The sequence below is a fragment of the Homo sapiens genome, chromosome 7 (genome assembly GCF_000001405.40).
Source record: "Homo sapiens chromosome 7, GRCh38.p14 Primary Assembly".
NCBI classification, from domain to species: domain Eukaryota; kingdom Metazoa; phylum Chordata; class Mammalia; order Primates; family Hominidae; genus Homo; species Homo sapiens.
Genome location: NC_000007.14, coordinates 85035816 through 85051783, shown reverse-complemented (window position 1 = coordinate 85051783; position 15968 = coordinate 85035816). Strand labels below are relative to the sequence as shown.

At 34.3% G+C, this 15968-nt stretch overlaps 1 protein-coding gene across 7 annotated transcripts in view; it reads left to right on the top strand.

The window, feature by feature from the left end:
• The window catches only part of SEMA3D (semaphorin 3D), a 254691-nt gene that overhangs the window by 198460 nt on the left and 40263 nt on the right, over positions 1–15968 (top strand). For all 7 annotated transcript variants that reach the window (NM_001384901.1, NM_001384903.1, NM_001384902.1 and 4 more), the window contains 3 exons: positions 9499–9613; positions 11042–11111; positions 14751–14895. In NM_001384901.1, the coding sequence (NP_001371830.1) occupies positions 9499–9613; positions 11042–11111; positions 14751–14895 (330 nt within the window). The remainder of the gene's footprint in view (positions 1–9498; positions 9614–11041; positions 11112–14750; positions 14896–15968) is intronic.

The window sequence follows — 15968 nt, the reverse complement described above, 5'->3', positions numbered from 1 at the left end:
ATTTTGATATGAGATGGTAAATAACAAAAAAAATTATGAGCACAGATTTTTATATTTGGATATGAAGAACTTGATGTGGTTCTGAGATATGGGGGCACAATAGCCAGTTGAAAATATAACCTGAGGCTCAGTAGTCTCTGGACTCATAAATTTGAAAATCAGCAGTACACTGGCAGATCTTGAAGTTATGGAAGTGCCTGACATTACTCAGGAAGATTTGTAGTGCAAGATCAAAGGGCAAGGATAGAATCCAATGGGACAATGACATTTAGGAAATAGAAGAGAAAAGTGTCTGCAGAGGCAATTGAGAGGAAATGGTGTCATTGCTGAGTGGGAAAACTGGAGAAGAGTGTTGTCACAAGTCAGGGGAAAAGATTGCTTCAAGAAGAAAGCAGTTGTCAAAAATGTCGCTTATCAAAAAGAGGTCAGGTAAGATTATGATTAAAGACTAGGTATTAGATTTTGCAGTAATGATATCATCAATGACTTTTGCCTGGATGATGTGAATGTTCAACTTAAAATCAGATCTAGGCTTACATTTTGCTCTACTTCCCATTCTCTCAGTTTCTTAACCTAAAAAATGAGGACAGCAGGCACCTATTGCTTCCATAACTATTTTACCAAGCAAATGTAAGGCTTTAATAAGATCATATGAATTTGGATGTGACAGATAACTGAGGAAGGTGCCAAAAACAAGGGTAACTTAGATATCTAAGTTTACAAGCATGTAACAATTTACTATAAGAGATTGACATGTAAATAATGTAAATATCTGGTCACACTACAGTGAATTTAATCCCAAAAATCACACATATGCACACATGCATGTGCACACATACACACACATCACACATACATTTGGAGCCAGATCAGCGTACCTGTGCTTAGGAATGGAAGAAGTTGGTGTTGATGGTAGTGGTGCGTGTATTTTGCAGTGTTAGGGGCAGGTTAGTTACCAAAGGTGATCAAAGAGATATGTCATTTTATTAGTTTTAAAGGCTGAAGTTACATTATTATTTTTCTTTATCTTTAGGAGAATTTGTGCTTTGAAGATTGATCTTATTTCTGAACATAGTCAAAGTAATTTGGAGCTGTATTTGGAGAAAGTTGCATAAATGATTTGAACAATGCAAATTTTGGTCAAGAGATATCAATGAAGAGAGACACAATAAATAAACTGACTTAAAAGATAATTTTACTGGGCAATATTGATCAATGAGAGCCTGAGGCGAATAAGTGCCTTCATCCACAGAATATCTTTTAAACTTAATATGTTTATAATTATACATGGTAGAGCACATTTCCTAATGAATTATTTTTAGTAGTGTTCCTACTTTCCAGTCAAACTACTTACTCTATTTTTCCAATAAATTGTTTAACCTTGAAGGATTTCTAAAGTCCTTGTCAAGCTCTACAGTTCTTTCATTTTGTGAAACAGTTAATATCTTGAAGCACGAAATGGTGCAACTTACACCCCAAAGAACTGCTCTCGTAGATGGTAAATAACACAGATCTTCTTGATGAGCTATTAAATGCTAATTGAATGAATAGGCAAAACCACATGAAATAAACCCACTGAAAAGATTTGTGTCTATTTACTTTGCAAGTTAGTACTTTCAAAATACATTATTTATGTCTGTCTGATGTTTATTACTCTGTCTCTGTGTGTGTGTGTGTGTGTGTGTGTGTGTGTGTGTGTGTGTGTGTGTGTTTCCCTTCAAGACCCACCTTTTAAGTCAATGGGTGGAAATACTAGTTCTTTCGGTGAGACTTGCTTGCAATTTTTCACCTCAAGGCTGTTTTGCATTACTTTTGAATTCTATTCATTTTTGGAAGAGCTGCCCATTATACTTATGCAAGTCTACTCCAGATTCCAGCTGTAGGTTATGCCAGTTCTCTTTTTTGTTTTGCAGTATTTCCTTTCCCCATGCCAGGAATTCAGTTTGGATGGCCCTTTCACATAACTTGCCTGGGGGTCTCATTAATAGCCCTTTGCTTCAATTCCACTTGCATTGTCTATTTTGATATATGGTCCTATTTGGACAATTACTGCCTTTGAAGATTTGTGTTTTTAGGCCGATGACACTTTCCGTATTTATTGATCTCTGTTGAGCTGTGGTTTTTGTGCTTACTTTCAGCATGTCACTTACAACCTAAATGAGAGATTTAGTGCCCACGAGTTACAGATGTGCTTTTGCTTCACTTCCATCTGTTTTCCTGTCTGAGAAATTCCTAGGAAGGGGTTTATACTGTTTGCTACAGCTTTTTTTTTTTAATTGAATGAACTCTGATTCTACCTGAAAAGGACTGCTTAACATTCCTAGATTTACCTAACTGAATGTGCTAAATCTTAGAAACTGAGTTGTTCAGGATAGTGTATTACACCAGTCCTGTATTTCCAATAATTTTTATGAGTTTCTGAAGTAGTTAGAAAAACATGTTCTCCACTTCTATTTGCTTAGTCATTAACGGCAAATCACAAATAGTCGTCTCTAAATACTAGGTGTATTTTTCAGAAAAAAAAAATTGCCTTGAAAGCCTCTATAGAATTTATCCCTTAAAAGTTAGTGTGTTTAATAGCTGCCACAAAAGTTTTTGTTGTTCTTTTTTTTTCTCCTCTATCCTTTGCCTTAGATGTTTGAGTTTGTATATTTTTATTTCATCTAAAGTATTTCAAGATTATTAGTAGGTGAGGTAAAGGACTCTATGTTATTATATGTCAAGAATTTTGGGGGGAATCCTAAGTATCAGAAGTGGGAAAAAAAAACTTTTGAAAACAGTAAAGAGCAAGTGCCAATAGACCTTCCTCTGGTAAAGAGAAACGGTATCCATAAATTTCTCTTTATGTTAAAAAATGCTTATAATTTAAGTTGCCAAAGAAAGTAAGTGAAGAGATATTTGTTTCTACATGTTATATTTCTACATGTTCTATGTTACACAGTTGTTTCTACATTTGTTTCTACAACTTAACTTACCGGAGTTGACTGCCAAATATGGTTATGTGAAAACTCTCAACCGTATTTTTAAAATTCATATTATTATTTTTGCCTTCATTTTTTAGTGGTCAGATCCTTTTTTAAAAATCCCAATGAACCAGGTACATGAAACATAGTTATGGCATTGCAAGTATTGCAAAAGAAAACCCACAGGCTAAAAAGGGTAGTTCAACAAAGTTTGTTTCATTTGATTTAATGAGCATAACTTCACTATCTTCCATTAGTTCACTTAATGTATCAAAACATACTCATTTAAGATCTTCACAATATAGTAATATAGTTCAATATAAGGCATACACTTCTAATGAGTCTCTTGGGGGCTTATGCCAGGTTTCACTTTTTGTTTCTACCATGTCATGGTCATAGTTTCAAACTTCTGAATAGACCACCCTGAGTTTGGATTGTCCTTATCATTATTATTTATTTATACAGCCCCATGCAGATCATTTGTACTAAGTTTTCAAAGAAAGATTCTAAAATCTGTTTCTAGAAATAACCCACTGAAGATTGAGACAACACAGATAGATGTAGATTGGACAGTTGCTGTGGGATCTATTATAAATGACAAATCAAGCAAAGAATATGAATGATGGATTGAAATATAACAGGCATTAAATCAAAAAGACAAAAGTATTAAATTTCCCTAATCTTATTTGTTGAATTTGTAAAAATGGCCAACAGAAAGCCTGTGTGTTTGCCTCAGTGTTAGTTTGGGTAATGGAATAGGTTTTTCTTAATTTATAATACTGTAGTATTTATATCACACTTCAAAAGAAGGTGAGTAGTATTAATTCAAACTAAAATCTATAAGCATAAGTGTTATTAATGGGTAGAACAGGGAGTGGGGCACACAAAGAATGCATATATCATGGTTTCAAAGTGTCTGAGAATTTCATTCTCTTGCTTGCACAAAGATACAGAAGAGCAGTATTAGGCAAAATAACTAAATTTTAAGCAGAGAATAATTTATAACCTCTAACTCCAGCATCAACTATTTTTTAAAGTTCTTAAACTTTGTCATTATCCAGTTTCTATTGATTTGAAACTGGTGTCCTTCAACTTAAACTCATGAATAGGGTTACAAATCTCTGCACACAAATTAGTAGCTTAACAAAATACTTGTTTTCAAATGTCTTGGAGAGTAAACTGATTTTACAAAATCTTCAGGATTTAAGAGCATAGGAGCCGAAAGTCAATTATTACATTTTCCAAAAGCCACTGTTATCTAATATATAGGTTAAAATGACAATGTTTATAAAGTACTGAGGGATCCTTGAAGAGGATGGTATATACAGATAAAATCACGTTTAACAGAGGAACCCAGCATAGTGACCCAAAGTTCAAAAGGCACACTCAATAAAAGTTCATGTGTGACAGCTGCTAGCTACTTTACATGTCTATATAAGATTTATAAGGGTTTAAGTTTTGCTGGGACAGTAGAAGGAAAATATAATGCCATATTACCCTGCTTTAGGTCTGATCTACCTATCAGTAGATGCTATGATTAGAAGATCTTAGTAATTCGTAACATGCAACCATCATACAATCAAATGACTCAGATGTACTATATTTTAAAGCTGCTGAAGGATTGCAAATTGTGGTTTGTTTTGTCTTTAATTTTTTTTTCTTTTTTTAATTAATCATTTTAAATTAAGAAATACTGCAAACATATAACAAGTACAGGAAAACAGGCACCCTCTGTACTTACCACCCAAATTGAACACATGTGATCAGGCTTGTTTACATATACTTTCTTTGTTACTTTCATCTGCATCTTTGTGTAGAGGGTGTCAAGGCTTTTGGAACACTTAACTACAAAAAGTGAATGATAAATAGTGTAGAGACCCACAGAAGTGCCTGGTGACTAAAAACTGCTGATTTTGACATCTTAATGATAAATCTATTGTGTTCGTGAGATGGTTATATTCTTTAGAACTTCACAAAAATAAGCAAGGAGGTGACAATTTAGTACAAAAGTGGTTACCTCCCTTTCAGCCCTCTTCTGGGCTTAAAGTTCTTAGAGGAGATTGTGTGGATATGCAAACAAATCCAGGGACTGAGAAACTGGTCAACAAAGTCAGCCCAACTGACATTTCCCTACAGGAGAAATACAACTCCTTGTGAATTGAACTTTGCCATCTCAGGTCATGCTTCTGGATGTCTGTAAGAGTTACTATCCAGTCATTAAATGCTTATAATCCATTCCTGAGTGCTATTATCCCAGGAACTGTATTTGCTTCCCTTCTGACAGCAGGTGGCTTTCATCTTTGGCTTGGATTTTTTTGTTTTGTTTTGTCTTGGTTTTTTATCTTTTTATTCCTGAGGGGCTAGAGAAGGCTGTTGGATGGGTAGGTAAGATTATTTTGTTCAAAAAATTTCTATTTTTTGGTCAGGTTAAAAGAAATGCAGTACAGTATAAATCCCTTTTCTGTCCTACAAATCTAGATGGGATTATTCTGCTAGTTAGAATGTTCTCATGGTTACCTTAAATATCAGTGATAATTGTAAATAGAAAGGGAGGAAATGTTTGAAAATGAACATTTATTATCACTTTTACATAGTAAAATGTTTAAAAGAGGATACGATTGCTCATTTTTATGAATACTGTATATGCCTATTAAAGGAATGTCGTTAAGCAGATATTCTGATTATATATGTATTCACATAACAAAATAATTTCAGCATATATTCTGTGATGGGTAAGACAAACTTTAGTCTCTGGCATTATATTCATGATCACTGATATGTTTGTTTATATTTATTGAATCAACATTATTTTTAGTATTCACTGCTGATCCTCTCAAAATATACAAATTTAGGCAAAGAAAATTTAATAAATACTATCAATATATAAGAATTCATTAAAATAAAAATGTTTTTACTAGTGCTCTTCTTATCACAACTAGAAAGCTGATAAAAAAATGTAAAGATTAGATACGTTACTTTAAACAGATCTAAATCAAGAGCCATGAGAAAGATGGGGAAATATCTTACATTTTTAAATTCATTTAAAATTATCTTAGTTTCTGATAATTCCAGATATACATCTTCTCACTGGAATCCTACTATACATGAACACAGAACTCATTGTTACATTAGGAGAAAGCGTCAATATTTTTGCTTATTCTTATTAACGTACAGATATATATTCATAAATGTTCTGAGGATATTGGCATTAAAAACAGGTCATATCTAGATAAATCTGTCTGCATCTGCAGACATCTGAAATCATCCAATAACTGGCTGAAATATACTTTATTTCTTAACAATGATACTCATAATAAAGGCATCGTATATAAAATATAAATGTAAGAGCAATTACCGACAGGCTTTTTATGACAGAGCCACTATATAGAATATATTATACATTTTCTTAAAAGGAAACTGATTATTTAACTTCTTTGCCAATTACTAAATTTTTTAGTAGTTCTTCATGTGCACTTAATAACATACAGACACTTTGGCCTGGCATTAAAGCTTTCCTTGATCTTACCCCAATTTACTTTCATAACTTTTTCCTTCACTATTTTAATTGATCTCAGTCTTCAACTAAACACAGTTTATCCTGATTCTCCTAGATGTCCTGGATTGTTCCACCCATTGTCCTTTTCCCTAGTTTCCAGCACAGACAGTATTACCTGAACCAATCTCTACATATGTAGTTTGGTCCCATCTATTATTGTAAAAAGTTAACATTAAACCCAACTCTTCAGTGAAGTTTTTGCCTTTTTCCCACTATAATGAAATCCTTGGCCCTTAGTCTATACCATTCTGAAAATTTTTTTCAATTTTATGTTTTATTCTTAGTTATTTATTAACTATTAATCATGTCTTCATTCAACAGCAATAGGGATTTAGTGACATATTGGGAGTTGAGTAGAGGGAATTTTAGGGAGTGCATTGTCTACAAGAATTAAAAATTATTCAAAAACCAACTAAAAATTATTGTGCTTTTTATTATTGCCACATGCCAGTAATTGTAAACAGTGTCAGTGACAATATGCTAATCATAAAAGAGTCTTGTTGGTCTAGATTTTAAACTGTGGTTTACTACTGTGTATCTATTATGTATATGTATATATGGATATTTGTGTGGATAGTAAGCCTCCAGCACACATGAACTCAGCTACACACATGTTCCAAGAGTAAGTTCATAATGATTTGGAATCATTTAAAATTTAAAACAGTGAGACATAGTGCAAACTAGGAGGTGTGATAGTTTGTTCCTTAAGTGCCAATTTTTAGTTCTTACATGAAATATTCTATTGAATGTTGTTGCTTTTAGATTTCAAAGTTATTATTTTAAAATTGTGTGTTATAAACCTAAAGAACAAATAAAGAAAATAATAATTATTCCTGAGTTTTACAGAACTGTTACTGAAAATGTATCTTTTGTTTAGTGAGAAAGGAATGTAAAAAATAATTCACTCTGGGTATCACATACCATAGATGCCCTTGGTGTTAGGTGCTAAGGCTATAAAGATACCTCTGGTCTCTGGTTTCCTTTCTTTCTCCCCTTCCCCCTTTCTTCAAGCATAGTATTTATAAGATTTCAAATTCTCTTGTTTGTTGTAGTCATTTAAATGCCTTTCTCTAGTTTAATTTCAGAGATAAAAGAAGAAAGTTTCTAGATATTCAGACTTGAAACTTAACAGTTAACTTCTCATTAACTTTACAGAACATAGATTGAAGGATAAATGATTTTATATAATTTATACTTAAATATAAATAAATTATTGGAAAAGATGGCTTCAATAGTAATTTAAATAAATTAGTCTTATTATAAGCACAGCAGAGCTAGTTGGGTTAAATGAATGAAAAATCATGCTTATTCAGTGTTCACAGGTGTATTAGTCTGTTTTCACGCTTCTGATAAAGACATACTAGAAACTGGGGAATTTATTAAAAAAAATAGGTTTAATTGGACTCACAGTTTCACATGCCTGTGGAGGCCTCACATTCATAGCGGAAGGCAAGGAGGAGCAAGTCACATCTTACCTGGATGGCAGCAGGCAAGGAGAGCTTATGCAGGGCAACTCCTGTTTTTAAAACCATCAGATCTCGTGAGACCCATTCACTATCACGAGAACAGCATGGGAAAGACCCGCCTCCATAATTCAATCATCTCCCACAGAGTCCCTCCCACAACATGTGGGAATTATGGGAGCTACAAGATGAGATTTGGGTCGGGACACAGAGCCAAACCATATCAACAGGTATATATTAATTTAAAAATGAGGACATAAATTTTTATGCTGAATTATTGAATAGTGTAATTCTGTTTATCGTGTAATTGATTTAAGTGTTTATGTTTTACTAAATGCTTAAAGAACATTTTTAATGAACCATTTCAGAGTAAAAATAAAGTATGGAAAATATAGATAAATATTCTTTAAAAGATTTGTTTTTGTTTTTGTTTTGTTTGCTTTTGAGACAGGGTTTTGCTCTGCCACCCAGGCTGGAATCAGTGGCACAAACATGGCTCACTGCAGCCTCAACCCCCTGGGCTTAAGTGATCTTCCTCCTTCAGCCTCCTGAATAGCGGGGATTACAGGGACACCCCACCACACATGACTGAATTTTTAAAATTTTTGTAGAGATGAGATCCCACTATGTTGACCATACTGGTCTCGAACTACTGGGTTCAGCTGATCCTCCTGCCTCAGCCTCCCAAAGTGCTGTGATTATAGGCAAAAGGATGGTTTTTATATGTGTATTATTACGCATATGTTTATGTTGCATGGATGTTTAATTAGTAAGACATTAAATTTGGAAAAGACTTTTAAGCCTATAAAGAGACATATTGCTAAAGGTTGCAAATATTGTTTTTAATCCTATAAATAATATACAAGCCAGTACCAGCATTCATTGAACTCAAGTTGCCTGAGACTATGCTAAGCATTTTATAGACTTTTTTTCCCCATTTACTCATCAAACCAACCATATTTCAGCTGGGTTCAGTGGTATGCACCTGTAGTATCAGCTACTTAGGAGGCTAATGTGGAAGGATTACTTGAGCCCAGGAGTTTGAGGCAATGATCTTGCCTGTGAATAATTACTGCGCTCCAGCTTGGACAACATAGAAAGACTTCATCTCTGAAAAACAACAACAAAAATTAACTAACCGTATTTCAAGAGATTTATCATTTTTATCAGTGAGAAAACAGAGACTTAAAAAAAATAGTCTCTTGCAGGTCATGAAGCAAAAAATTGGCAGGTGGGATTTGATTTCAAGCTGCCTTTACCATTGCCTTGTATGCATCTACTCATCCAATAGAGCTGAACTGCTTGTATTTAATTCATTTAACTATGAGAAAAACATTTAATATTGAGGGCTAATACTGTCTTTTTCCTTATTTTAAAGTTCAAGGACTCAATATCTGGGTTCAGTGTCTTTGTAAACAATGACATCAATAAGACACTACCTGTAATAGCCACCAGTTTTAGTGAGTGGTAGAATTGTGTTGATAAATATTTATCTTTATTTTTTTTTTCATGTCAGAATGATGTAGGAGGACAACGCAGCCTGATAAACAAGTGGACGACTTTTCTTAAGGCCAGACTGATTTGCTCAATTCCTGGAAGTGATGGGGCAGATACTTACTTTGATGAGCTTCGTAAGTTCCTTCTTTCCTTCTTTCTTGGAAAGGCCTTACTGCCTAATTAAGTAACTTGGCATTTATTTCCCTTTGGCTCCAAATGCCTGATTAATTTTACCTGAGCAAACCTTACAGGAGTGGTTCTTACTAAAATTCACACGCAAAGTACACGGAAGTGCTCTAGGTCTGGGCACACGTCATAATGCAGTAACTCTTCTCTTTGTAAGAGTCCTCAAAGTAAGTGAAGGAAACAAAACTACAGCAAGACACAGAAAGGTGTGAGCTCTGGAACTACACAGTTCATCCATTCTCCATGCAGTCTTTCATTTTGAAAGGAGCCACCTTCTATAGGTAGGAAAATCTTGGATTCCTTATTCCACGGGTGCCCTCTGCTGGCAAGTACAGGAGATTTGGTGAACACTGTCCCTCCGACTTGTTAATGAAAGAATAATCAGAAGCAGTAGACAGCTTCTTCTATTTCACTTCTCCTCTTCACTCCCTCAAAAACTCCTTCCAAGTCCTACAATGATTTTTTTCTTTTTTGTTTATGTATAATGTTAGCATCATTAGCTTTTAGCTTCTTGAACTTGTTCTTATTTTTGCCATGTAATGTAAAAATGATAATCTATATCATGGAATTATTTCATCAGTATTGTGTATTTTCCAACTTAAAGTATACATTGAGTAATCGTGGATGACCTCTCCTATTGTATGTAAGCACATTCACATCTTAATCTTTTAAAGAATATTATTTGCACATAACTTACTGTCAATACGGCACTAATTTGGGGGTAGCTATTTTCTTATTGTTACCAAATAGGTAAATGAGGTCAGGTGTGGTGGCTCACACCTGAAATCCCAGCACTTTGGGAGGCCGAGGTGTTTGGACCACTTGAGGTCAGGAGTTTAAGACCAGCCTGGCCAACATGGCGAAACCCTATCTCTACTAAAAATAAAAAAAAAAATTAGCCGGGCTGGTGGTGGGCACCTGTAATCCTAGATACTAGGGAGGCTGAGGCAGGAGAATTGCTTGAACCCAGGAGGGAGAGGTTGCAGTGGGCAGAGATTGTGCCACTGCATTCCAGCCTGGGTGACACAGCAAGACTCCATCAAAAAAAAAAAAAAAGGCAAATTAATTACTAAGTTGACACAATTATAGGACAGAATTTTTTTACACTAGAGGGTAAAAATTACTTATTTTTTGGTTTATATTTTCTATGAAATCAGATTTCCAATTGGAAACTACCTTGGAGATTATCAATTGTACCATACCATACATAGTCATTGAGAAAAAACAATCTTATATTTGATTTCTCAAGGCATAATATAGTGCCTCTGTTAATCGTATAAACTGTTTAGATTTTCAGAGTTTCAGTTGTGTTATTAACAAAAAAGCAATGTAATACTGAAAAATAAGAGTAAATATTTATTTTTCCCCTTTAATAGAAGATATTTATTTACTCCCCACAAGAGATGAAAGAAATCCTGTAGTATATGGAGTCTTTACTACAACCAGGTATGTTCAACAAAATGCTTTTAATGCTTCAGAGAATTGTATATGTATGCAAGCCAATATAGTTATAGGATCTTTTTGTCCCTGCGTTTGTAGTAGCATATCGTAAACTTTTTTTTTCATTTTACCTTTTCACTTAGTGTTCCTTAAAAATCATTTAATATCAGTGTAAAAAATTCTTTTTTTTCTTTTTAAGCCAGTATAGCATTAGCTATAATGATTACCACAAGTTATTTAACCACTCCTCTGAACATGGACATTTCTGTTATTTCCAAATGCCTACTGTTGCATATAATGCTTCAGTGACTAAACTTGTGCATATACCTTCCCCATAGGAACAAACGTATCTGTGAGATAAAGTCCCAAAATAAATTTTCTGTGTATAAAAGGCATATGCAGGCTGGGCTCACCAGCTCACTCCTATAATCCCAGCACTTTGGGAGTCCAAGGGGAGGATGGCTTGAGCCCAGGAGTTCAAGACCAGCCTGGACAACATAGTGAGACCCAGTCTCTACAAAAAGTAAATAAAAAAATAGCTGGGCATGGAGGCACATGCCTGTAGTCCCAGCTACTCAGAAGGCTGAGGTCAGAGGATTGTTTAAGCCTGGAAGGTAGAGGCTGCAGTGAGCCATGATGGTACCACTGCACTCCAGCCTGGGTGACACAGCGAGACCCTGTCACCAAAAAAAAAAAAAAAAAAAAAAAAGTGTTTGCGTATATATTAATCATAGTAAGTATTTACATGATATGTGTTGTCATAGTGATAGTACTAAGGAAATACGTGGATAAATGGTTAAGTTCATTGGTAAGGCTATAATCATGAGATGGGACACTCTTAACCTTTAAAACATCATCACATGCTGTCCTATTATCATTTCCCAGTTACCCTACAAAGACAGGTGTGGCTGTTATGACTATTTCACTGCTTTACTAATTTAGGCAAAGAATGTTTTCATCACTTGCTCAAAGAGGAGCGGACTATTAGTAGTAAAAATAAAACTGAAAGTGAAGACAATTTCATGTTTTCTACTCCTGTATTTCTGTCTTCTTTTTGCATAATGCTTTCCTGTACTTATCATTGAGACCTTCCGACTTCCTTAAAAGTTGTACTAGCATCGGTGGGCACGATGGCTCATGCCTGTAAATCCCAGTACTTTGGGAGACCAAGGCGGGTGGATCATCTGAGGTCAGGAATTTGAGACCAGCCTCCCCAGCATGGTGAAACTCCATCTCTACTAAAAATACAAAAAATTAGCCAGGTGTGGTTGCGGGCGCCTGTAATCCTAGCTACTCAGGAGGCCGAGGCAGGAGAATCACTTGAACTTGAAAGGCGGAGGTTGCAGGTTGTGCCATTGCACTCCAGCCCCGGCAACAAGAGCAAAACTCTGTCTCAAACAAAACAAAACAAGTTGTACTAGCATCTGTGAAACTTTCTCAAAGAATATGGGGGCCCCACAGACTTAATTTTATTTAATATTCAGTAACTTAAATTTGACTATGTTCAAAGCACACCCTTTCTCCTGTTCCCTGTTACAGCCTATATTGTTGGAAATAGTTTTCACATTTTCCACAGCTCTGCTCTCAAACTTTATCAATGTATATTGACATCAGTATAGGAGGAATTGAAGATACTGATATTGGTACTGAAGAAAAGGTCTTACTGCCTCCTAGTGAATAAATTTTTAATCTATTTTATATGAACAATATAGTTTAACTTTTTTCTGTGGCACAATCCTCATTTTGTTCACAATACCTTATTCATAAACTGAAATGCACTATTGGTTCAGAATAGATCAGAAAACAAAATACTGTTTGGTTAATTATAAGATACAGAATATGAATGTTCAAATATGAGAATAAAGAAGATATCCTAGGAAGCTGCTATTTTGGACTCCATTTTCCTGTTAATTTATATCCTAATATAAAAAGGTACAAGAAGTGCCTCTGGTCAAGTATCTCAATCCTAGTTCTCTTGGCACCTTTCCAATTGCAGAACTTTCTTTGAAGTCACTGTGCTCCACACACAAGGCACGGATATGTGCCAGGAAAATATAGCCCCAAGATAGTTCGTTTTTTTCTCCTATTAAGTTTCTGCCCACCCAGAGTGTGAAGTTACAAGTTAGCTCTTTGTTCTTCCTATACTTTATTGTTTTGTTTTTAATGCCATCCTAAAGACCAAGGTGACATTGGAATGTATGTCATATCCTTTGTCCAACAAGAAGACATAATAAACCTGCAATAATGGCAATGCCATTAAGCATGAGGCATCATACCTTTAAAATATCCTAGGCAGATTCTGTGATTTCTGTGGCAACGCCACCTCCATTCTCAGGAGCTAGTTTTCTTCCACCTACCTATTTACCATTACCTCTCAAAGGTTCCCATTAATATCATTCCAAGAATATTAATAATTGAGTTACTATGCTAGAGAATCATTAGCTTATTTGTTAATGCTAAGTTATTATTATTATTATTTTTATTATACTTTAAGTTTTAGGGTACATGTGCACAACGTGCAGGTTAGTTACATACGTATACATGTGCCATGTTGGTGTGCTGCACCCAGTAACTCGTCATTTAACATTAGACGTATCTCCAGATGCTGTCCCTCCCCCCTCCCCCCCACCCCACAACAGGCCCCGGTGTGTGATGTTCCCCTTCCTGTGTCTATGTGTTCTCATTGTTCAATTCCCACCTATTCGCAAGGACAAAAAACCAAATACCGCATGTTCTCACTCATAGGTGGGAAATGCTAAGATTTTTAATATATTTTTTAGATCATAAAGGTTGATCTCATTTTTGAAAATGGGAATGATTAAAAGTTTTCAACTCAAAGAAAATATCTTTTAATTTCTAGAAATAAAGCAAAAAAAGACATCTGAATAGTGTTAATTTTTAGTAGTTTGCAAAAATTTGAAAAAATTCCTTTGGAGTTTTTTGCCTCTTAATACTTTCTCTAATCCTGTGTAATTATAATTAAGTATCAGATGAGCTACTGTAATACATAAACTCATAAATTCAAGGAGGACCAAAAAGAAAAAGATTGTTTCAACATTTTAAAATCAGTTTAATAAAAATCATATAAATATATCATTTAGCAACTAATGTTTATGGATATTCATTCATTGTAAGAAAACAAACGAGAGGATTATTATTCAAATATTTAAATAATTCTTTTTAATAAGTAAATAATGTCACTTTTTATTTTGTAAGCCTTTGGAAGGCATTATGCCATAATAACTTTAAATAAAATGGAAGAACATGTAAATAAATATAACACTCTTTCATGCATATTCCTCTTTATCCTCCAGGGTTTGTTTTATATAATTTCTGTTTATCTATCAGGTGCCAATTTAGATGACACCTCCTCCCTGAAAACTTACCTGGCAGCCCTATACTGGGTACCCATGCATGTTCTACTTTGCTTACTATATTTACTGGCGATGAAGTTATTATTACACTTTATTTAGAATTGCTTGGCTGTAAGCCACTTGAGGACGTAGGCACATTGTGTCTACAGTACCCATCAAATTTAATGTGCTAAGTAAATTTTGTCCACAGCACCTGCTGATAGTATGTGCTCAGTCAATGTTTATTGAATTCATCAGTGAATGATTGAATGATGATGCTTTTTTTTTCCAGCTCCATCTTCAAAGGCTCTGCTGTTTGTGTGTATAGCATGGCTGACATCAGAGCAGTTTTTAATGGTCCATATGCTCATAAGGAAAGTGCAGACCATCGTTGGGTGCAGTATGATGGGAGAATTCCTTATCCACGGCCTGGTACAGTATGTATCCAACTTAATAATCAAATTATTTTCTTAAGCTCATATTTAATTCTTAATTTAATTGTAATAAATTCTGCTATTCACCAGAGCCACATGTGCTGTAATAACATTTATTTGCAGTGAAGTATTAGCATTTTCATCCTTCATTGAAATTTAACATTTCAGTAAGAATTTTAGTTACTTTGAGAAACAATGGACTATGTCATAAGTATCTAACCACGGGGACAATGTGGAGCTTATCCCCAACATGTTTATGTTTATAGAATCATTGGAAAGATTTAGTTATCTAGAATGACAGCTATTCTAAATTAGATGGAAATGTCAAAGAAGTATTATTTCTCACATACAGCTCTGCAGATAGCTCGAGTCTTCTAATCCCCACTTCTACTTTGAAAAGAACACATCATAATGGTTCACTTAATTTATCTCTTTTTTGGTATGCATTTATCTTTTCTTCACTTAATTGTACCTTAGAATAACATGCACTTTTTAAATGGGAAAGGAATTTTAGAAAACCCTCAGTCAAAAATTTTTTTCAAATAGTATGAATCATGTTTAAAGCACAAATGATGTAAGTAAGAATGTATTTTAGAGTTTATACAATTGTTTAAAACAAAAAACAACTGCAGTTCAAAATGCTGTTACATGCATTTTAAGTGAAGGGATTTTTAAAACATTTGTTGATATTATTATGACAGTTTAAGTTATTTTAACATCAGGATTATTTATTGACCTAATATTAAAGAGGAAAAAAATTTTTTTTTCATTTTGGATTTATTCTGAATATTACTACCAAGAGGTTTAAAATAATTACCAAAATATCTGAGGAAAATATTGACTTAACTCTTCAAGTTTTACTGAATATTATCTTTTCATATGTTCATTCTTAAAGGAGAACCAGCTGGTAGCTATGCTTTCCGAATTCTGTTTCCATCTTCCTGCTATATAACTTAATTAAATTTGGGAAGTATGCTATACAACCATCTCTATTTTCCCCTTAATAATTCCCCAATATAAATTTGTTTCAAGGATGGTTTCTAACTTGATTATAAAGTAATAACGATGTTTGTGGA